The 21,678-nt window shown below is 62.0% G+C and overlaps 2 protein-coding genes across 11 annotated transcripts in view, besides 6 other annotated features; one reads left to right on the top strand and one right to left on the bottom strand.

Moving 5' to 3' along the window:
• Positions 1,335-1,454: an enhancer, noted in NCBI's record as "active region_13614". NCBI's record gives its function as "activates an Ori minimal core promoter by ATAC-STARR-seq in GM12878 lymphoblastoid cells {active_cell/tissue: GM12878}" and the evidence as "EXISTENCE:reporter gene assay evidence [ECO:0000049][PMID:35858748]".
• Positions 1,501-7,515, top strand: C19orf25 (chromosome 19 open reading frame 25). Of its 2 annotated transcripts, none has more exons than NM_152482.3 (3): positions 1,501-1,553; positions 1,811-1,942; positions 5,458-7,515. In NM_152482.3, exons 2-3 carry the CDS (start codon positions 1,813-1,815, stop codon positions 5,682-5,684), a joined length of 357 nt encoding a protein of 118 aa, NP_689695.2. In that variant the 5' UTR covers positions 1,501-1,553; positions 1,811-1,812; the 3' UTR covers positions 5,685-7,515. The 2 variants fall into 2 exon arrangements, with proteins under 2 accessions (NP_689695.2, XP_006722716.1); XM_006722653.4 differs by having other exon boundaries at positions 1,501-1,576.
• Positions 1,675-1,724: a silencer, noted in NCBI's record as "silent region_9721". NCBI's record gives its function as "represses an Ori minimal core promoter by ATAC-STARR-seq in GM12878 lymphoblastoid cells {active_cell/tissue: GM12878}" and the evidence as "EXISTENCE:reporter gene assay evidence [ECO:0000049][PMID:35858748]".
• Positions 1,816-2,316: an enhancer, noted in NCBI's record as "H3K4me1 hESC enhancer chr19:1478399-1478899 (GRCh37/hg19 assembly coordinates)". NCBI's record gives its function as "activates a minimal SCP1, AML or CMV promoter by ChIP-STARR-seq in naive H9 embryonic stem cells {active_cell/tissue: H9 hESC(naive)}" and the evidence as "EXISTENCE:reporter gene assay evidence [ECO:0000049][PMID:30033119]".
• The window catches only part of APC2 (APC regulator of Wnt signaling pathway 2), a 27,015-nt gene continuing 12,808 nt past the window's right edge, over positions 7,472-21,678 (bottom strand). For all 9 annotated transcript variants that reach the window (XM_005259475.3, XM_006722607.3, NM_005883.3 and 6 more), the window contains 5 exons: positions 20,396-20,535; positions 19,859-19,936; positions 19,563-19,679; positions 18,539-18,753; positions 7,472-15,561 (listed from right to left, as the gene is read on the bottom strand). In XM_005259475.3, the coding sequence (XP_005259532.1) occupies positions 10,503-15,561; positions 18,539-18,753; positions 19,563-19,679; positions 19,859-19,936; positions 20,396-20,535 (5,609 nt within the window). In that variant the 3' untranslated portion in view covers positions 7,472-10,502. The remainder of the gene's footprint in view (positions 15,562-18,538; positions 18,754-19,562; positions 19,680-19,858; positions 19,937-20,395; positions 20,536-21,678) is intronic.
• Positions 9,986-10,125: a silencer, noted in NCBI's record as "silent region_9720". NCBI's record gives its function as "represses an Ori minimal core promoter by ATAC-STARR-seq in GM12878 lymphoblastoid cells {active_cell/tissue: GM12878}" and the evidence as "EXISTENCE:reporter gene assay evidence [ECO:0000049][PMID:35858748]".
• Positions 11,178-11,227: a silencer, noted in NCBI's record as "silent region_9719". NCBI's record gives its function as "represses an Ori minimal core promoter by ATAC-STARR-seq in GM12878 lymphoblastoid cells {active_cell/tissue: GM12878}" and the evidence as "EXISTENCE:reporter gene assay evidence [ECO:0000049][PMID:35858748]".
• Positions 11,538-11,717: a silencer, noted in NCBI's record as "silent region_9718". NCBI's record gives its function as "represses an Ori minimal core promoter by ATAC-STARR-seq in GM12878 lymphoblastoid cells {active_cell/tissue: GM12878}" and the evidence as "EXISTENCE:reporter gene assay evidence [ECO:0000049][PMID:35858748]".

Genomic DNA, 21,678 nt, shown 5'->3' with positions numbered 1-21,678 from the left:
CGTTCTTCCTTCTCTTTCCTTCCTTTCCTTTCTTTTCTCCCTTTTCTTCTTTACTTTCTTCTCTTTATTTCCTTTTTCTTTTTTTTCTTTCTCTCTCTCCTTCCTTCCTTTTTCTTCTCCTTCCTTCTTTCCTTTCTTTCTCTTTCTTTCCTTTTCCCTCTCTCTGTCCCTTCCTTCCTTCCTTCTCTCTCAACAATATTTTTTTTTTTGAGACAGAGTCTTGCTCTGTCGCCCAGGCTGGAGTGCAGTGGCACGATCTCGGCTCACTGCAAGCTCTGCCTCTCGGGTTCATGCCATTCTCCTGCCCCAGCCTCCTGAGTAGCTGGGACTACAGGCAACCGCCACCATGCCTGGTTAATTTTGTTTTTCTTTTTGTATTTTTAGTAGAGACAGGGTTTCACCATGTTAGCCAGGATGGTCTTGATCTCCTGACCTCGTGATCCACCCACCTCGGCCTCCCAAAGCGCTGGGATTACAGGCGTGAGCCAACACACCCAGCCTAATTTTTGTATTTTTAGTAGAGACGGGGTCTCACCATGTTGGCCAGGCTGGTCTCAAACTGGCCTCAAGTGATCTGCCCGCCTCGGCCTCCCAAAGTGCTGGGATTACAGGCATGAGCCACCGCGCCCAGGCTGAATTTACAGTTTAAACAGGCGAATTTGGCCGGGCGCGGTGGCTCACGCCCGTAATCCCAGCACTTTGGGAGGCTGAGGCGGGCGGATTGCCTGAGCTCAGGAGTTTGACACCAGCCTGGGCAACACAGTGAAGCCCCATCTCTACTAAAATACAAAAAAAAATTTTGACGGACGTGGTGGCGGGCGCCTGTAGTCCCAGCTACTCGGGAGGCTGAGGCAGGAGAATTGCTTGAACTCGGGAGGCGGAGGTTGCAGTGAGCTGAGATCACGCCACTGCACTCCGGCCTGGGCGACACAGTGAGACTCTGTCTCTAAAAAAACAAAACAAAACGAAATAAACAGGAGAACTTTATGGTATGTAAACTGCATCTCAATAAAGCCCCTGAGAGAGGAAAAGGGCCCTCTGCTCTTTCTGCCTTCCCAGGCATCAGCGGAGAGGAAAAGGTGACCTCCAGCACCGTCCCCGAGGTGGGAGGACCCGCCTTGGCCGGAAGTGGAGGCGCCGCGACCGCCCCGCCCCCGCTGTGTTCCGGCCGCCGAGTGCTCATGCACCACCAGGCTCCCTTAGGTGGACAGCAATTTTGTGCTCCCGTCAGCCACATGGGTGGCGTGTCCCCTAGTGCCGTGTTCCCCTTTTCAGAAAGACGAGCCTCGGATGCTTTTCTACCCAGCCAGTGGAGCCTGGACTCGAACTCGCTCTCATCGTAGCGCGTCCAGGTTCGGGTTCGCCTGAGAGGCTGAGATCCGAGTCTCAAGGGCACTATCCCTTTAAGACGGGGCGGAGCCCCGCGATGAGCGGCGGGCCGGCGGGAGAGGAGGCCGGAAGTGTGTGTCACGTGTTCGGGGACGGGGCGGTGCTCCGACCGGAATCGGAAGTGGCTGCGTCGTCGACGCTGGGCTTTCGGGTCCCGCGCCCAGGTGGGAAGAGGCCGGCGACTGGGGTGACCGCGGGGAAACTGAGGCAGAGGTTGAGCCAGACCCTGAAGCCTTGGCCACCGTGTTTTTGGGCGGAGGGAGGGTCAGGGCCTGGGGCGAGCTCAGAGGGGCGGGACAGGGCGGGCTTCCCCGGGAGCGGGACCGCGACGGGTGCGTACGAGTTCGCTGGGCGGGAGGAGCAGCCCGGGCAAGGGCGGAGAGGTGGACGCCCCGGTCAGCGCCCCCTTCCCCGCCTTCAGAGATGGGCTCCAAGGCAAAGAAGCGCGTGCTGCTGCCCACCCGCCCAGCGCCCCCCACGGTGGAGCAGATCCTGGAGGATGTGCGGGGTGCGCCGGCAGAGGATCCAGTGTTCACCATCCTGGCCCCGGAAGGTAGGGGGAGCCCGGTCCCGGGGAAAAGCGGACCTGAGACCCCGGCAGCAAGGGGACGGGAGAGAAGCACACCCCTAACTCCTGACCCCACGCCCTGGGAACCCCCGCAACATGGGCACGGTCCGTATCCTCTCCGAGTCTCCCTCTACTCCTCCGTAGAGTGGGACCGATTTTCAGAGGGTTCTTCTGACAGGGGTGGAGGCCGGGCGCTGTGGTTCAGGCCTGTAAGCCCAGCACTTTCGGAGGATGAGGCGGGAGGATCGCTTGAGCCCAGGAGTTCGAGACCAGCCTGGCCAACATGGTGAAACCCCGTCTCTGCTAAAAATGAAAAAACAAAACAAAAACAAAAACAAAAACAAAACAGAGTTAGCTGGGCATAGTGGCAGGCGCCTGTAATCTCAGCTACTCGGGAGGCTGAGGCAGGAGAATCGCTTGAACCCGGGATGCAGAGTTTGCAGTGAGCCGAGATCGCACCACTGCACTCCAGCCCAGGTGACAGTGCGAGACTGTCTCAAAAAAAAAAAAAAATTACTGGGTGTGGTGGTGGACACTTGTAGCCCCAGCTTCTTGGAGGCTAAAGTGGGAGGATACAGCCTAGGCAACACAGCCAGACTGTGTCTCAAAAATAAATAAGTGGCCGGTGCGGTGGCTCACGCCTATAATCCCAGCACTTTGGGAGGCCGAGGTGGGTGGATCACTTGAGGTCAGAGGTTGGACACCAGCCTGGCCAACATGGTGGAACCTTGTCTCTACTAAAAATACAAAAATTAGCCGGGTGTGGTGGCATGGGCCTGTAATCCCAGCCACTCAGGAGACTGAGGCAGGAGAATCACTTGAACCTGGGAGTCGGAGGTTGCAGTGAGCTGAGATCACGCAACTGCACTCCAGCCTGGACCACAGTGAGACTCTGTTTCAATAATTATAATAATAATTAATAAATAGAAATAAATAAAGTAAAACAGAGGTGGTAAGCTAGGGCCCCCCAAACCCTGCCCCTGGCTGTTTTTTTAAGGTCTGGGAGCTATGAATGGACTTCACATTTTTAAATGGGGGTGGGTGAAAAAGAACATTTCTGACACCTGAAAGAGGTATGAAATTCAGATTTCAGTGTTGGTAAGTAAAGGTTTACGGCACACAGCCAAATGATTCACATACGGTTAGTGGCTGCTCTCACACCAGAAGGGCAGAGTTGAGTAGTGGGAGCAGAGACTCCAGCCTTTGGCAGGAAAGCTTGTCCACTCCTGATTTACGAGGTGGAAGCTAGTCAGAGACCAAAGGATTCAGCAGTGCAGTTGGGTGAATTTTGTGTTCTGGATGAGGCTCATTCATTCATTCAACAATCCTTTTCTTGAGCACTTCCTGTGTGCTGGGCTCTGCGCTTAGAGCACTGCTAATGGACAAGTGAACAAAAGAAACAAGAATGTCTGCCCCAGGCTGTTCTGGGGCTGGCGGGAAACAAATGAAGATGAATCGGCCAGGTGCGGTGGCTCACACCTGTAATCCCAGCACTTTGGGTGGCTGAGGTGGGCGGATCATTTGAGGTCAGGAGTTCAAGGCCACCCTGGCCAACATGGTGAAACCCCGTCTCTACTGAGAATACAAAAACATTAGCTGGGCATGGTGGCGCATGCCTGTAATCCCTGCTACTTGGGAGGCTGAGGCAGGAGAATTGCTTGAACCCAGGAGGCGGAGGTTGCAGTGAGCTGAGATCGTGCCACTGTACTCCAGCCTGGGTGACAGAGCAAGACTCTATCTCAAACAAAAAAAAAAAAGAAAAAAGAAAATGAGCCATGTGGAATGATAGAAACTGTGAATTTCTAAGGGAACATTTTTAAAAAGTAATATTAGAAAATTCTGGGGCCAGGTGCAGTGGCTCATGCCTGTAATCCCAGGACTTTGGGAGGCTGAGGCAGGAGGATGACTTGAGGCCAGGAGTTCAAGACCAGCCTTGGCAGCATAGCAAAACCTATATCTACCAAAAATACACAAACTAGCTGGGTGTGGTGGCATGCACCTGTGGTCTTAGCTACTCAGGAGGCTGAGGCAGGAGGGTTGCTTGCGCCCAGGAGTTGGAGTCTCCAGCCTGAGTGACAGAGTGAGACCCTGTCTCTGAAAAAGAAAAAAAGAGAAAAATTGAGTTGTGTTTTCCCTTTAGACATATTTCAAGTGCCCAGGAGCCACACATGGCTGGTGGCTGGTGTGGACCAGCATCGGTGGGAGGTGTGCGCATCATCTGGAAGGTTCTGTGGGCCGGTACTGGTCAAGGTGCATGAGTTGGTTTTATTCCCAGCATGCAGTTCGGTCACCTGAGGGTGCTGGGGCCGTGGTTTGAGCTTCATGGGCTCAGGTCCATGGCCGTTGAGTGTGGCGAAACTGAGGCACGCTGTGCGGGGGACGGGGGGCGCTCACAGAAGGTAGGGGGCCTCCTGTGCCTTCATCCAGGCACTGCCCGGCCTTTCCCACCCTGTTGCTAAAGCAGGTGATGACAGAGGTGATTTGATCAGCCCAGACCCGTGCGGCACGTGGAGCCTTCGTCCGTGGGAGACCACACTGCCGAGGGGCAGGCCAGAGCCGAGGGGCCCCTGACGCTTCTCTGAGTGACCCTGAAGTCGGTGCTGCTTCAGCCCTGCTGCACTGGGCTTGCATACGTGGGGGAGCAGGGAGCCATACGTAGTTTCTGCTGAATGTGGGAGTCACCAGGACGTCAATGCCCACCTCTCACCTTCGCCACCCCTGCCTCCCTAAGTGTGTGCTCCAGGAGGTTGCACGGCCCCTGGAGAGGTTTTCGGTGGCGGGCTTGTTGCGTCTCTGGCTTCCAGAGACAGCAGGAATGAGAGCCAGGCCAGCTCAGTGGAGTCCATCCCGGTGGGTGCCACGGCTTTTGCAGGAATGGAAGCCCCGCCCCCAGGAGGGCCACTGCTGGCGAGGCTTGAGCTCTTTCTGTGACCCGATCCCCCTGGTCACACGCTTTGCTAAGGCGGGTAGCCTAGAGCTGGAAGCCCCTCCTGCCACCCAGCCACTGTGCCTCTCCCAGCTGATGGACGAGGAAGCCTCCATTACTTGATTTTTGTTTTTATTTATTTTTGAGACAGGGTCTCATTCTGTCACCCAGGCTGGAGTACCGTGGCACGATCATAGCTTATTGCAGCCTCGGCCTCCCAGTCTCAAGCGATCCTCCTGCCTCTGCCTCCAGAGAAGTAGGGACCACAGATGCGTGCTACCACGCCCAGCTAATTTTTGTATTTGTATTTTTTGGTAGAGATGGGGGTGTCACTATGTTGTCCAGGCTGGTCTCTAACTCTTGGGCTCAAGTGTTCCTCCCGCCTCGGCCTCCCAAAGTGCTGGATTACAGGCGTGAGCCACCACACCTGGCTGCATCCGTCATGTTAAGAAGACCCCGGCTGGCAAGCTCACTCGGGGACTGCAGGGAACCCTGCCCTTTGGGGGCAGTAGTGAGGGGTGCCCAGGAGGATGGGGTGGTCAGCAGGCAGTGATGCTGCTGTGTCCTGTCTCAGACCCCCCAGTTCCCTTCAGGATGATGGAGGATGCGGAGGCCCCGGGAGAGCAGCTCTACCAGCAAAGCCGGGCCTACGTGGCTGCCAACCAGCGGCTGCAGCAGGCGGGCAACGTGCTGAGGCAGAGGTGTGAGCTCCTGCAGCGAGCCGGCGAGGACCTGGAGCGGGAGGTGGCCCAGATGAAGCAGGCAGCATTACCGGCAGCCGAGGCTGCCTCCTCAGGCTGACCTCTCGGGGCCTGCAGGCTTGGGCAGCGCACAAGGTGGCCTGCACCCAGGCTTTCCCTGGGGGTCCGTCGGCCCCAGACTGGCATTCACGGGGTCCCAGCCCACGTGGGTGTTGACACAGGCGCCCCTCCTGATGCTGGGGCTGCGGTTCATCCGTCGTCTCATTCATGCCGAGTTGGTGGGACCCACCCAGCTGGCTCCGTCCTGCGTGACCTGAGGGCCCCACTGGGGTTCTGGAAGAGGATAGGGACATTATTGCTGTACTGTGATTCTGTCGTCAGCTCACAGTGGCCGTGCTCTGCAGTGGGGCCCCTGGGAGCAGGTGCCACCTCCTTCCTCTCCCGGGGCAGGCACTCGCCTGTCCACTTCTGAGTCCAGGTGTTGGGATCGAGGTGTTAACTGTGATTCCATCCAGCGAGTGCCCACCCAATGTCAGAGCAGCCCGAGGGCCAGCCTGAGCCCCTGACCCCACTTCCTTCTGGGCCCCGGGCTCCTCCCACAAGCCACGTTGATCTTCACAACGACCCTGGGCCGCTGGGGTCACCCAAGAGAAGCAGCCCTGAGACCCAGCCAGGCTGGGCCTAGCTCCACGGCACGGGTGTCTCCCAGCCACTGCCCTTGCTGGAGGACCGCTGTGAGTCACTGGCCAGGAGCCCAGGGTGTCCTGAGTCTCATAGCCACCCTGCCAGCTGCAGCAGGTCCTGGGCCTGCTTCCCTGCGGGTTCTGGCCCTGGGGGAGGGGGCGTTAGTGCGGCGGAGGGTCTTGCCAAAGGCTTTTCATCCTAAATAGCAACTTGAGTGGAAACCTGGGCAAGGCGGCCCAGAGGCTGGGCCCTGCACATAAAGCTTTCGTGTGTGTCTGGCCGTCTGAATGGTGCCTCTGTGAGCGGCTCCGTCCCGGGGCCCCGGAAGCTGGGGAGGGATGGGTACCGGCGACCCCGGGAACCCTGCTCAGTCCTGCCGGGCACTGCATGCAGGGACCGTCCGCCTGACCCAGAGACCTGGGGCTGCCTCACCCTCTCTCCAGACCCACAGCCAGCTTTGTTTCTTGAATGTGGAAGATGTTTCTTATTCCCTGAAGAAAGGGGGCCTGCCACACACAGCCTGGGAGGCGCCTCATCCAGAAACTGGGACTTGGCTAGCCCGGCCTGGGCCCTAGGGACTTCTCACTGGTCATGCTTCTGAAGCTGCTCACCTGGCCGAGGGAGGTCCCGGCAGTGTCCCAGGGTGGAAGGTGGGGAGGGGGCCGGCTCCTGCCATCCCTTCCCACCCTGCACTTCTGTGCTGCTTGCAGTCATAGCTTTCCTTGTCCCCCCAGCTGGGCCAGGGCTGTGCTCCCTGAAGTGGCTTTGACGTGGGGCCGTCCCAGCTCCCGCAGCCCCTGTCCACCATTGACTCTCCCCGGTAGTGGCTGCTGTGGCTGCCCCATCCCAGCTGTTGCACCAGCCACAGCTCCTAGTGGCTCATGGGTGCCTCCTGCCCCACACTGGGGCCTGCCATAATAACTGGCCCAGGTACCAATGCCCAGGTTGGACCCCCTGTCTGGGGTGCTGTGCACCCCCTGGAGCCTGCCCTCCCTTGGGACCAGGGGGAGACTCCTGGCCTCAGCCAGTGCCTCCCCGGCCCATCTGGGTGGGGTGCCCACAAACCCTGTGCCCCCAGTTTCTGCTTTCTGGCTCTGCTTCCAGGGATCTAACCTGGGGGGTCTCAGCAATTCTGTGGCAGCACATAGACAGCGATGAACCTACCCGCCCACAGCCCATTTTGAGGAAGAGGTGATGGCGGCAGGCAATGCAAGAGCTCAGTTTATTAAATGTGTGCGAGTCGGACAGCTGACGGTGTCGTCCTTACGCCGGACAGATGGCTTTACATTTAGGGAAGGACAGGCTTTCACTATTTACCACTATTTACACGTCCGTTTAACACTGCAGAGACCCGGTACAGAAACGTGGGGTGGCGGCTAGGGGAATCAGACAGACCAGGCGCGCGCCATCAGGGCTGGACCGGGGCAACAGATGGGGCCGGGTGAGGTAATGCTGTCGGAGCTCGGGAGGACCATGCCGGTGGGCACGGCGCCCCGAGTTCAGCACCCACGTGTGGTCATGTTGGGGGCCAGTGGCGGTCACTGTCCATCAGCCTCAGGACACCTCCACCCTCCCTGCGTCCTCAGACCCTCAGCTCCTTAGGACTGGCCCTGGAGCATTGGGGGGCAGACGAGGACCCCTTGTCACCCTGGTGCAGAGAGGCCAGGTGGCCAGGCAGGGGCCGCGGTGGGAGGGAGGCCTTGCAGTGGGCGTACCTTGAGTTGATTGTCCAGAGACCGCGGACTGCCTGTCCCCTTCTGGAGACAGCTGGACTGGGCGGTGAGGTGTGGCTGTGGCCCCCACGGCAGGGGATGGAGAAGGCGAAAGTGAGCTCAGGACTCGGGGTGGGGGTGGGAGGCGGGGCTGGCAGCCATGTTGCGCACCTTGCTGCTGGGCAAGGCGTCACGGGCAGGAGCCAGCCAGACCCAAGTTCTGTGAGCTTCCAGGCGTCTCCCCATCATCGCTGCCACCACGCTCCCCCAAGAGGTAGCTCTGGGAGTTCCCCACGGCCCACATGGGGAAACAGAGGCAGGGAGCTGGGAGGGCGCCGCCCAGAGACTTACATATGTGGAAGGCAATGCCGCACCACCTTCCTGCATAACCCTGGCCCTGTCACCAGCGACCTGGTGGCTGGCTTCGCCATTTCCCTACCCTTTGGCAATTAGGGGCGCAGCGGGCCGGGGCGAGTGTGAGGGTGAGCACGTGTTTGGCATCCCCAAGTCCAAAAGCTCAGAAGAGACCACCAGGTTCCCCCTCGGGCCATGGATGGGGACAGCAAGTGTGAGACCCCCGCTGTGTCCTGAAAGGGGGCTCCTGGCAGGCAGGAGGTCGCCCCACTCAGCCTGCATTTTCCCCGCTCTCTGCTCAGCCATCCATGACCCCCTCTTCCCCCAAAACAACCTGACAGCCTTGCCTGGCTGCGAGGTCCTAGGAGGGAGCATTGGGCACCTCCAGCACCTGCTGGGTGGCACACCTCGGTGACTTATGGACGTCCTGTCTGGAGCTCCTTGTCCTGCAGGGTGTGGGCCCGGAGCATGGGGTGCAGCGTGACATGCATTCAGAGAAGCAGCAGTGTTAACTGGGGGTGGGGGCTGGGGTCAGCTTTGCTCACAGCGGCCCTGAGTTGAGGACAGCTCCTTCTGCCAGAAAGGCTGGCCTTGCCCATGCTGGGGATGGGACGGGAGGGATGGTGTCATCCGTGGTGGGGCTGGGGTTTCCTTCTGAGCTCCATCCACCCAACCCTCAAACCCTGCTTCGTTCCTCCTGGAGAAGGCACGTGGGGCATTGAGCGTGTGCCTTCAGCCTGGGCAGATCCGTGGGTGAAGGCAGCGCCTGCTGGAGCTTTTCTGCAGAAAAGAGGTCGTCGGCTCCCTCTGCAGGACGAGGCGTTGCCCCAGTCACGGAGACCCGGCCCCTGCGAGTCCCACCCCACGCAGGAGGCCCAGCTCCCAGCCTCCCCCGCCAGGGGATGAGGCAGCCGAGCCCCTCAGGCCCTTCTATAAGCTTTCACCTCATCTGGCACCAAATACTCTCCAGCCCTGCGTTCACCTGCCGGAAGGCCCCCGAACCTCCCGCCTTGTCCCAGAGCCTCGGGTGGAGGGCAAGGCTGGGTCCCCGCCCCAGCTGTGCTGTTTCTGGAGTTCTAGGGCCTAGCGCTTTATGCATCATGAACCAGAAGGGAATTGAAAAGGGACAAGATGAGCAGCGGTGCGGTCCTGGGCACTGACCACGCCCACATGTGATGGTCTCCGTAACGTGCAGGCTCCGCTGGGGAGAGGCCAGCGCGGGCTCCAGGTCCCAGGGCCTCGGGCTCACTGCCGGGACTCCCCTCAGTCTCCTTTCCATTGGCCTCGCCCGCCGCGGCTGCGCCGGGCCGATACTGACTCCAGCGACCCTTGGGGTCGCCCCAGCTGGTAGCCAGCATCTCCTCTGGGATGGGGTCCAAATGTCAGCCGGCCCGGCGTCTGCACCAGGGTCCCATCGTACGCAGCCCGCTGCCTTCCCGTCTCCCGCCAAGGGGTGCGACAGGCAGGGGGATCCGTTGGCCTCTGCCCCTCCCACCCCCACCCTTTTGGGCTCCGCCGGAGCGCTTGGGCTCCGGGTTCCCTGAACACCGTCTGGGCGGGGCTTCCTGCCGGGGCTCGGCCACACCCCCACCCGCACTCCCACAGCTGGGGCTGAGAATGAAAACAATCCCTGCAAAGCCCTCATTAGCGAATTACCGGCGGCTGCAGTGATTACAGGCTTCGCCCCTGCGCGCCGCAAAGGCCCCCAGCTGGCAGGCCCGCCGCGGCGCCGCCCTCCCCCAGCCTCGCCCCACCTGCGGCGGGCGCCGTCACCTCCCCAGCGCTGTCCCTGCGAAGCAGCGGACCCAGACCCAGACCCGGACCCGGAGGCTACCGCCTCCCTCGCCCGGGGTCAAGCAACGGCTTCCGACAGGGGAAGGGCCGCGCGCTCAGGGCTGGGCCAGGACGCCCTTGCCAGCGCTCCACGGTCGGGACTTGAGGCCTAGCGGCCGCCCCGTTTCCTCCTGGACCTCCGCGGCACAGAGGCAAGGTCTTCCGGTGAGGCGCGAGGTCGCCGTGCGCTGGGCGGGGGTTCTGAGAGTGGTGGGGCTCGGGTGGGCAGAGGCCCTGGGGCGACCTATGGGGGACGTCTACAGCGCAGGCCCATGGGGCAGCCAGACCGCGCCGCAGGGCCGGGAGAGAACGTTCCAGAAGGCCGGCCTAGGCCACTATTCCAGGAGGGTGGCGGAGGCAGTGGCCGGGGCTTTCTCCGCGGCCGAGTCGGTGGTGGCTGCGACCACCATGGGGCTGGGCACATAGTTGAAGGGGGGTACTCGGGCCGAGCGGCTGGGGGAGCCGTGCCGGCTGGCGGGGAAGCCCCCCACGGCGACCCCCAGGCCCTCGTGCACGAAGGGTGCGGAGATGGGAGCCTTGGCGAGGCTGGGACCGTCCACGTCGCTGCCGAGGAGGGAGAGCTGGCCGCCGGCGGGGGCCCCGGGGGGCTCCCTGGTCTCCAGGCTCGGGGACGTGCTGGAGTTGGTCTTGGGGGCGGCGACCTCCTCGGTCTGGACCACGGCGTCGCTGGTCTTGCGCGGCGGGGGCCCGGCCGGGGCGTCCTCGGGCGTGGAGCCCCGCAGTGGCAGGGCCGTGGCGGGAAGCGTGCTGCGCAGGATGTGGGGCACGTCCTCATCTCGGATGCGCCGCCAGGTCGTGCCCGGCGCGGCCACCCTGGGGAGCGGCCGGGGCTCCCCGTCGCTGCTGCGGCGCGCGGCGTCGGCTGAGGCAGGGGCCGCGGGGACGGCGCCGTCGGGCCTGCGGGCCACGCTGATGTGCGGCAGCGACGCGTAGCGCTTGACAGTCTCCGGCCGGGCGGCGGGCGCGCGCACAGGCAGGCGGGACGGGCTCTCGGAGGTGGTGCGCCGGGCAGGGCGCTCGCCAGGGCTGGGTCGGGCCGCGGGGGGCCGCTGCCGGGCCGGGGCCGGGCCCTGCCGGGGTGCCGCTCGGAGCTCTTCGCAGCGCGAGGAGCAGAGGAAGACGGCGGGCAGCGCGGGCCGGCCGCGGCGGGGCGAGGCGCCCTGGGGGGCAGAGGCCGCGGACTCGGCCGAGGACAGCTCGGAGCGGCGGCGCCGCAAGCCCGGCGACTCCTTGATGAAGGTTAGCTGTCGCCGGAAGCCCGAGCGGTCGGAGGACTCGCTGCCGCTGGAGAGGGCTGAGGCCACACGCACCAGGCCCAGGCGGCCCCCGCGCGCCCCCGGGCCCGCCTCGGTCCCCGCCCGGCCCCTGGGGCCCGGCTCCGGGACTGCCCGAGCCAGCGGTGGCGGCCCACGCCGGGCCGGCCTCTGCATGAACGGGATCCGCACGGGCGATCTCTGCGTCTTGTGCTGCTTCGCCAGAAGGGTGCGCGCCGGCGTTTTGGGCACCGGGGAGGCTCCGGGGCCGGGCAGGGCCCCAGCAGCCTGGGTGACCGGGGGGCGCTTTCTGGGCAGGGGCTGGGAGGCGGGCGAGGTCTGGGAGGAGCTGGAGGAGGGGGTCTTGGCGAGGCGGGCGGGCGGTGTGGCGCTTCTGGGGGGCTGGCTCAGCGTCGCCAGCTCCGAGGTCTTGGCAGGCCGGTGTAGGCTCCGCGACCGCTGCTGCCCGGGGCTCGGGACTTTGGCTGGAGCCGCGGGCTGTGCCAGGCAAGGGGGCGCCACCTTCCGCGGTGTGGCGCGGGGGCCGGGGGTCCCTTTGGGCTGGGCACGGGGTGCCGGGCTGGGGACGTAGATCACTGTTCGTCCCCGGAGCACAGCTGGCACCCCGGGCGTGGTCTTCTGTGTGCCACGTGGCTTCTCGGGGCCTGCAGGGGAACGGGGGCTCCCGCTGGTCTTGACTGAGGCTGCGCCCCTTTTCTCTGGCCGCCGGGCACTGCCCATTTCTCCCTCCGCCTGTCGTCCCTTCCTGTGCTTGGGGGGCTGTAGGGTGGATCCCACTGACAGCCCGGATACGAAGGACAGGATGGAGTCGGACTCGGACGAGGCCTCCCGCGTGGCAGCTGCTGCCTGGTGCAGCCACGTGACAATTGAATTGGCGCCCTCCTGGATGGCGCGCCACTCCACGCTATCCAGGTCGGAGGCCCGGTCCGAGCCCGCTGCCTCCTCGCCGCGTTCCCGGGACCCCTCTGCGGGCCGCTCATCCAGCCGGGTGGCTCGGGGCTTGCGGCGCCGCAGGCCAGACACGGGGGGCCGGCGCCTGGGCAGGGCCGAGCTGATGCACCGCTGCAGAAGCTCCTCCGCGGCCCGCGGGCTGGGCGAGCTGTCGCGTCCGCCTCCTGGGCCCGGGTCCTTGGTGACCGCGGGCTCCCGGCCTCGTGGATGGACGGCCGGCGGCTCCGAGGGCTCGGGCTCGCTGAGGGAGCTGGCGGAGGAGCTCAGGGAGTAGCAGGGCGGGGTCTCGTCAGCAATGAGGCTGGGCTGGGTCCGGGCGGGCGGCGGGGCAGCTGGTGCAGCCTTGGACGGGGCAGGGGCCTCCTTCCGGCCCTGCGGACGCTCCCGCGTAAAAGCGCGAGGGATGGCCGATGTGCGCCGGTGGGTTGGCGTGGGCGCGGCCGCCGGGGGCTCCTCGTCCGAGTCGTTGCCGTAGAAGCAGTACACGGCCTCCTCAGTGGGCGTCGTGAGGCACAGCGACTGGAGCGCCCCGTCCCCGCGGGTCCGGCCGGGCTTTGAGCCGTCCTTGTCTGCGGGGGCGCTCGGGGGCCGGCCCAGGGGCAGCTCCAGCCCTGCTCTGTTCTTGCCCGCGCCCCGAGACTGCTCCGCGCTGCGGCCGGCGCCTCCCGCCTTGTGCCGGTGCCCCATGGCCTGTCTGGCAGAGGTGGGGCGGCCGGTGGGTCTTTGCCTGCCCGCTGGTCCCCCGGGCTGGTCCCTGGGGGGTCCCTGCAGCGTCTCGTCGCTGAGCGAGGCGGCGCTAGAGAAGTTGACCGGCGTGCCCTCCGCGGAGTCAGTGCAGGAGTCGTCCTCCTGGGCCGGGGCCGGGGCGGGCACCAACATGTAGACGGGCACGGGGAGTGCGCGGCGACCTGGCACCAGCGCGGAGGCCACCTTGCGCAGCCGGGCAGGCACGGCGGCTCCCAGGCACTCCCGCAGCAGTTCCAGCTCCTGGTCCGCGGCGCCGCGAGGGCGAGAACCCGTGGGCGCCGGCCCCTCCTCCCGCCGCCGGTGCCCTGCAAAGTGGAGGCCGGCGCCCCCGGCGCCCCCGCCGCGCTCGGGGCAGGCCGAGGGCAGCAGCCGCAGCTCCACGTCCTGCTGCACGTAGTGCTCGTGCAAGGCCAGCGCGCTGAGGCTGGAGGCGCACGAGAAGTTCTCGTCTGGCTTCTCCACGGTAAAGCGCACGCTGCCTGCGTCCAGCTCAGATGGCAGCCGGCAGCGCTCCCGGCAGTCGGCGATGTCCAGGAAGCGCTTCACGTAGCTCTCCCACTGCAGGCTGAACTGGGTGGCCTCGGGGGGACCCTGTGGCGCGGGCGCCAGCGGTGGCGTCTTGCTCCGGCTGGGAGGCATGGTCTGTCCGGGGCTGTCGGGCAGCTCGCTAGGGCTGATGGTGCCGCTGCCCTGCCCGCTGCAAGGTTCACTGGGGATGGAGCTGGCGATGGACGGGCTCTCGAAGCTGCCCAGCGAGCTCACAGAGCTGCAGCGGCTCAGCACAAGCGGTGTCTCCTGCACGTAGTTCTCCGACGAGCTGGACGGCGTGGCGTCTTCCACCCCCAGGCCCCGGCCTCGGTTACGCCGGGGAGCCGGAATGGCTACGGGCAGCGAGGTGGCCCCGGGCGCCCGCCACGTGCTGTCCAGCTCAGCCTCGCTGGGGCCGGCCTCCTCCAGCCCCTCCAGGGAGGAGTCACTGTCATCCAGGTCACCACCCTCGCTGGGGCCTGGGCGGCCGGCCGAGGACAGCGAGGAAAGGGAGCTGCATCGGGACAGCGAGAGTGGCCCCTCTTGCGCCGCCAGTTTCTGCAGTGCCTTGCTGGCCACAGACAGCGGGGCAGCCGCCAGCTTCTCGGGAACCTTGCTCAGGTGGTCTGCCGGCAGCCAGGCCTGCTTCCGGGCCCCTGGAGAGATTCCAGGCCCCGCGAGGGGCTCTGCACCCGCCCTTGAGGCACCCTCAAGCAGTGGCACGTGCTGATAGGTAGGCGACAGCTTGATGGTGCGCACGCGGGCGTCGGCGGAGGTGGCCTCGCGGGCCGGGGGCTCGGCCTGGCAGCCGGGCAGGTCAAGGTCAAGCCGGCTGGGCCGAGGCTGCCCACACCTGGGGTCCTCGCGGCGCGAAGCCAGTGCGGCCAGCGGGCAGGGCAGCATATGTTCGCGTGGGCAGTACCCGTCGCTGGCACTGCCGCTGTTGAGGCTGTCGTTGGAGAGGCTGGCGTGGGCCGCCTTGAGCCGCAGCAGCGGGTGCGCCCGGCTTCCTGCCTCTCGCCGCCCGCCCTCCGGGCCGCGGCATGGCGAGCAGGACTGGGCGCGGCCCTCCCGTGGCGCCTCCTGTCCCGGGTCTCCAGAGCTGAGGCTGAAGCTATCGTCGGACGAGGTGTGCAGGGCGGAGATGTCCTCCACCAGCTGGTCGATGCGCGCCACTGCAAGCGCCAGCTTGGCCTTGGCCTTGGCCGCCACGGCTGCCTCCCCACTGGTGTCCTTCTCTGCCTCCTTGCCGCCTCGGCGGGTGGGCGGGGTGCGAGCCAGCGCCTGCCCCTGCAGGAAGGGGCTGCCCAGGAAGAGGGACAGCGCGGCAGGGCTGGCTGGCTCCCCGGTGGCCGCGGCCGCAGCCAGGGATGACGGTGCATCGTCGTCGTCAAAGCAGCCCGAATCGGAAGCATAGTCTTGGGCCAGGCCGTCCAGGTGTCGCAGGGGCGGCAGCGGCTTCTTAGTGGCGGCCTCGGCTGCCGGCGGGCCCTGCTTCTCCAGGTGCTCCAGCGCCTGCGCGAGGTGCCGTGCGTCCAGCTCGGCCTCCAGCGCCCGCTGCTTGCGCACGTACAGGCTGGGCACGCAGCTGCCTGGGGACACGGCGGTGGCGGCCGCCTGGTGCTTGGCGGGCCGATGGGCCAGCAGGTTGCGCAGGGCGGCGGCGCTGCCCATGGCGATCATCTTGTGCTTGGAGTGCACCAGATTACGCAGCATGCCCACGGCGCCCAGGTCCCACAGCAGCTCCTGGTCACGGGCGCTGCGGGCCGACAGGTTCCAGAGCGTGCCGCACGCGTTGCTCACGATGGTCAGGCTGTGCGAAGTCAGATGCTGCAGCAGCGTCTGCAGACAGTTGTGATCCCGGAGCACCTGCCTGTAGGCACAGGGCGGGTTAGCCTGGGCCACCCCCCACCCTCCCCTGCCCACCGAAGGATGGGGGGGCCAGATGTGGCAGGTAAAAGTAAACGCATCTGGTTAGGTTTGGATCTTGGAAAGACTAATTTTTGGTATAAGTATATCCCAAAGATTGCATGACAGAGACTAAATTATTTTATTTTTATTTTTTTGAGATGGAGTTAAAAAAAAAAAAAAGGTAGGCCGGGTGCAGTGGATCACACCTGTAATCCCAGTACTTTGGTAGGCCAAGTGGGGTGGATCCCCTGAGGTCAGGAGATCGAGACCATCCTGGCCAACATGGTGAAACCCTCTCTCTCTTAAAAATACAAAAATTAGCTGGGTGTGGTGGCGAGCACCTGTAATCCCAGCCACCCGGGAGGCCGAGGCACGAGCACTGCTTGAACCCGGGAGGTAGAGGCTGCAGTGAGCCGAGATCGCGCCACTGCACTCCAGCCTGGCAAGAGACCAAGAATCCATCTCAAAAAAAAAAAAAAAAAAAGGAAAAAACAGCATGCACATATCCTATGTGGTATCTGGGGTATACTTAGATAGATTCTGTCTATATCTATCTTTTCTGAGAGAAAGTTTCGCTCTGTCGTACAGCCTGGAGTGCAGTGGTGCAATCATGGCTCACTGCAGCCTCCAACTCCTGGGCTCAAGCAATCTAACCGCCTCAGCCTCCCAAAGGGCTGGGATTACAGGCGTGAGCCACGATGACCAGGTAAAAATAATATTTTGTGTTTTCATAAATAACATGTAAATATTTTTATTTTAATATTTCTTATTTAACAACATTTTTATTTTAATAATTTTTTTTTTTCTGAGATGGAGTTTCACTCTTGTTACCCAGGCTGGAGTGCAGTGGCATGATCTCCGCTCACTGCAACCTCCACCTCCTGGGTTCAAGCGAGTCTCCTGCCTTAGCCTCCCAAGTAGGTGGGATTACAGGCACCCACCACCCCGCCTGGCTAATTTTTATATTTTTAGTAGAGACGGAGTTTCACCATGTTGGCTAGGCTGGTCTCAAACTCCTGACCTCAGGTGATCCACCTACCTCGGCCTGCCAAAGTGCTGGGATTACAGGCGTCCACCACCCCACTGGCTAATTTTTGTATTTTTATTAGAGACGGAGTTTCACCATGTTGGCTGGGCTGGTCTCAAACTCCTGACCTCAGGTGATCCGCCCACCTCGGCCTCCCAAAGTGCTGGGATTACAGGCGTGAGCCACCGCGCCCAGCCAATAAGTTAATTTTTAGTATATCCGATGTGTATTTGAGATGTACTTCAATTAAAAATATTATTTATTTTTATAAATAAGTATTCTCTATTGTTTAAATATTTTAATGAAGACAGTTATATTAATATGATTTAAAATAAAATTGAGACAGGGTCTCACTCCCATCACCCAGGCTGGAGTGCAGTAGCGTGATCACAGGTCACTGCAGCCTCAACCTCCTATTGTCAAGTGATTCTTCCACCTCAGCCTCCTAAGTAGCTGGAACTACATGTGGACGCCAAGCCAAGCTAATTTTTCTTTTTTTTTTTTTTTTGAGACAGTTTTGCTCTTGTTGCCCAGGCTGGTGTGCAATGGCCTTATCCTGGCACACTGCAACCTCCGCCTCCCAGACTCAAGCAATTCTCCTGCCTCAGCCTCCCGAGTAGCTGGAATTACAGGCATGAGCCACCACACCTGGTTAATTTTTTTTTTTTTTTTTGAGACAGAGTCCCCTCTGTCGCCCAGGCTGGAATGCAGTGGTGTGATCTCACCTCACTGCAGCCTCCGCCTCCCGGGTTCACGCCATTTTCCTGCTTCAGTCTCCCGAGTAGCTGGGACCACAGGTGCCCGCCACCATGCCTGGCTATTTTTTTTGTATTTGCAGTAGAGACGGGGTTCACCATGTTAGCCAGGATGGTCTGGATCTCCTGACTTTGTGACCTGCCCATCTCGGCCTCCCAAAGTGGGATTACAGGTGTGAGCCACCACGCCCGGCCCACACCTGGCTAATTTTATATTTTTTAGTAGAGACAGGGTTTCTCCATGTTGGTCAGGCTGATCTTGAACTCCCAACCTCAGGTGATCCGCCCACCTCGGCCTCCCAAAGTGCTGGGATTCCAGGTGTGAGGGACCGAGCCCAGCCTGAAGTAATTTTTTTTTTTTTTTAAGACGGAATCTTGCTCTGTCGCCCAATCTGGAGTGCAGTGGCACAATCTCAGCTCACTGCAAGCTCCGCCTCCCGGGTTCATGCCATTCTCCTGTCTCAGCCTCCTGAGTAGCTGGGACTACAGGCACCCACCACCATGCCCAGCTAATTTTTTGTATTTTTAGTAGAGATGGGGGTTTCACCGTGTTAGGCAGGATGGTCTCGATCTCCTGACCTCGTGATCCGCCCGCCTCGGCCTCCCAAAGTGCTGGGATTACAGGTGTGAGCCACTGCGCCTGGCTGCCTGAATTTTTTTTTTTTTTTTTTTTTTTTTTGAGATGAAGTTTCGCTCTTGTTGCCCAGACTGGAGTGCAGTGGCACAATCTCAGCTCACCGCAACCTCTGCCTCCTGGGTTCAAACGATTCTTCTGCCTCAGCCTCCCGAGTAGCTGGGATTACAGGTGCCCGCCACCACACCTGGCTAATTTTATATTTTTAGTAGGGACAGGCTTTCTCCATGTTGGTCAGGCTGGTCTTGAACTCCCAACCTCAGGTGATCTGCCTGCCTCGGCCTCCCAAAGTGCTGGGATTACAGGCATGAGCCACTGCACCTGGCCTGAAGTAATTTTAATGTAATAAATAGGTCTGCATTTTAGTATATCTCACGCAGTATTTGGGACGTATTTATGCTGCAAACAGCAGCCCCTGGGGAAGCCTTGGGAGCATGCATTCACGGGAGGACAGTGCCCAGCCCAGCCCTGTGCCCGCCCCGAGCGCAGCTGCCTGTGTGCGGGTGGGGGGGTGGGGGCCGACCTGTAGTCCTCACGGGTGGCGACGAGGCTGGACACATTGCGGAGGATGCCGCCGCCGCTCTCGATGATGGCCAGCGAGTTGCTCTGACACTTGTAGGTCAGGGTGCTCACCAGGAAGCCCAGGGCGCCATCCACCTGGCAGATGGCCGCCTTGTTCTCTGTGCTGTGTGCAGACAGATTCCACAGGGCGCTCAGCACGCTCTTCAGGGTGGACTCCTGGACGAGGGGCGGGAGAGGGGCGGGTCAGGGCCTGAGTGGCCCGGAGGAAAGGCTCCCACGCTCACATTCAGTGAAGTTGGGTTTTTTTGTTTTTTGTTTTTTTTTTTTGAGACGGAATCTCACTCTCTCCCCCAGGCTGGAGTGCAGTGGCGAGATCTCGACTCACTGCAGGCTCCGACTCCCCAGTTCAAGCGATTCTCCTGCCTCAGCCTCCGGAGTAGCTGGGACTACAGACACCCGCCACCACGCCCGGCTAATTTTTTGTATTTTTAGTAGAGACGGGGTTTCACCGTGTTAGCCAGGATGGTCTCGATCTCCTGACCTTGTGATCCGCCCGCCTCGGCCTCCCAAAGTGCTGGGATTACAGGCAAGAGCCACCGCGCCCGGCCCAGTGAGGTTGTTTTTTTGAGACGCAGTCTTGCTCTGTGGCCCAGGCTGGAATGCAGTGGCGCAACCTCCGCCTCCTAGGTTCAAGTGATTCTCCTGCCTCAGCCTCCCGAGTAGCTGGACTAACAGGCGCCCGCTGCCACGCCTGGCTGTTTTTTTTAGTAGAGATGGGGTCTGACCATGTTGGCCAGGCTGGTCTCGAACTCCTGACCTCAAGTGAGCCACGGCGCCCAGCCCACATTTGCTTTCAAAGAGCAGTGACATGAGGAGTGAGCCCCAGCCGGTCTGAGGCTGGACCACCCGCTAAGCAGTGAGCTGTTCAACTTGATTTCCTCCCAAGTCGGAGAGCTCGCCCGCTGCCGCCAGCAGTCTCCTTCCAGTGACTGAAGAAGCATCCCTGCCGCCCACCGGGTGCCCACCTTGGTGGCCCGCAGGACACACTGCACCAGGGCAGTCACGCTGCCCGCCTCCCTCAGCACCTTCTTGCTGTTGATGTCGGCCCTCCAGGACAAGTTCCGAAGGATGCTGGACACCACCTGGGTGGGGTGAGGGGCAAGTGTGGTGGGACTAGGGTCCAGGCCCCCCAAACCCCCCAGCAAATGTGAGTCTGCAGAGAGTCGGACGGGACACCCCTGCCAGCCCACCACACCGCTGGGGAGGGGCCTCTGCCTATCAGGGACACCCTGGAAGGCTTTCCCAGCACCCCGCCCTGTACCTGGTGGAGCTCCTCACTGTCGGAGGCCAGCTGGGCCACGATGGCCTCCATGCAGCCGCGGCGCGCACACAGGGTGGCCTGTTGGGGGTTATGCAGCCGGGGTCACGGGGTTGGGACACAAGGGAGACTGTGCCCCTCACCTCCCAGCCCCGTCTGTGTGCTGCAGCTGCAAACTCAGACCCCTGCTGATCCTGACCACTACCGGGGACGGTTACCCCATGCTCAGGTCGGGAAACTGAGGCCCAGACAGGGGCAGACACCCAGCCTCGGGGCCCTGAGGCCCCCTCTACAATGAGGGCCATTTTCTGCAGAGGCAGCAACAGGGTGGGCGTGAGGACACCGCCAGGTGGGGAGGTTCAGCACGCGCTCCCGTCCCCCCACACCGCACTCTCTGGGCCTCAGTCTACCCGTCTGTAAGTTGGGGACAAGTGGCCCCAGCTCTCAGGGCTGTTTCGAGGCTGGGATGAGTTGGAAGGAGGCTCAGTCCCTGGAAGACTGGATGAGGAAAGTGCCAGCCCACCCACTGCCCCCGGGCACCTTGTTGGCAACGTCCCCAAAGGTGAGGTTGGTGAGGGTCATGCCCGCGTAGCGGCGCAGCGCCAGGTTCAGCGGGTCCCGGGTCATCTTGTGCATCTCATAGTCAACCTGCAGCAGCTCTGCCACGGCCTGCAGCCCACCTGTGAGGACCCAACAAGGTTGGTGGGTGGCAGGGATGACCCTGCCTGCTGCCCAGCGCCCCACCTCACTCCCTTGCCCAGAGGCCCTCCCTATGCCCCAGACCTGCCCTCAAGTTCCCCTTCCAGGCCCAAGTCTGAGACCTCCTCCAGGAGCCGGTATGGCCTCACCCTGCTGCCAGACCCACAGGGGTACCCCCAGTGCCCTGTGACTGCCACCCCCGCCTCCTGTCAGCCCTCGGTCCTGGCTCACGCTTCCTCCAGCCACTGGGCCTCTGCACCTGTTGTTCCCTCAGCCTGGAATGTTCTTCCCTGCCCTGTTTGATAGGTGCCTCGGGGAAGGCCCCCTGAGTCCTCTAATAATACACCCCAAGACCATCAGATGGAGAGCAGCATCCCCAGCACAGACAGGGCTGTAGGGATGGGTGACGGCCACACCCACCCTCTTCACTCGCCCCGCTTCCCCATTACAAAAGGGGGAAATCAACGGGGAGATGGCGCCTGTGAGTCAGAGGGAGAGGAGGACTTGTCACCAAAACACTTTTCTCCCTCTTCAAAGACAACAGAGGCAAATGTGACTGTTCTCAGAGCAGGAGTGGGTCAGTGGAGACACCCTTTGGGGAAGTGAGTTAGGGACATATCTCAGAAAACTTCCAGCCTGAAACGCGTACATCCAGGTTCACCACAGCACGATTCACAGAGCCAGGAGTGGGGGGCAGCTAGAGCATCCATAGGAGGACAAGTGGGTCAGCCCAGCGTGCCCTGTGCACACGATGGGATGTCACGCAGCCTCAGAAGGGAGCCAGGCTTTGGCCGGGTGTGGTGGCTCCTTCTGCCTGCAACTCCAGCACTTTGGGAGGCTGAGGCAGGAGAATCGCTTAAACCCGGGAGGCAGAGGTTGCAGTGAGCCGAGATGGCGCCACTGCACTCCAGCATGGGCAACAGAGCAAGACCCTGTCTGTCTCAAAAGGAATGAGGCTCTGAAACAAACAGACTATGGCGTAGGTGCACCTTGAGGATGTCACGCTCAGTGGGAGACGCCAGGCATAAAATGACAAATCCTGTGTGATTCCACTCCTAGGATGTCCCTAGCTCCATCAGATTCACAGAGACAGAAAGTAGGATGGGGGTGGGTGCCAGGGGCTG

Source organism: Homo sapiens, chromosome 19 (genome assembly GCF_000001405.40).
Source record: "Homo sapiens chromosome 19, GRCh38.p14 Primary Assembly".
Classification (NCBI taxonomy): domain Eukaryota; kingdom Metazoa; phylum Chordata; class Mammalia; order Primates; family Hominidae; genus Homo; species Homo sapiens.
Note: the sequence above shows the minus strand (reverse complement) of the source record. Positions and strands in the feature narration are given on the sequence as shown.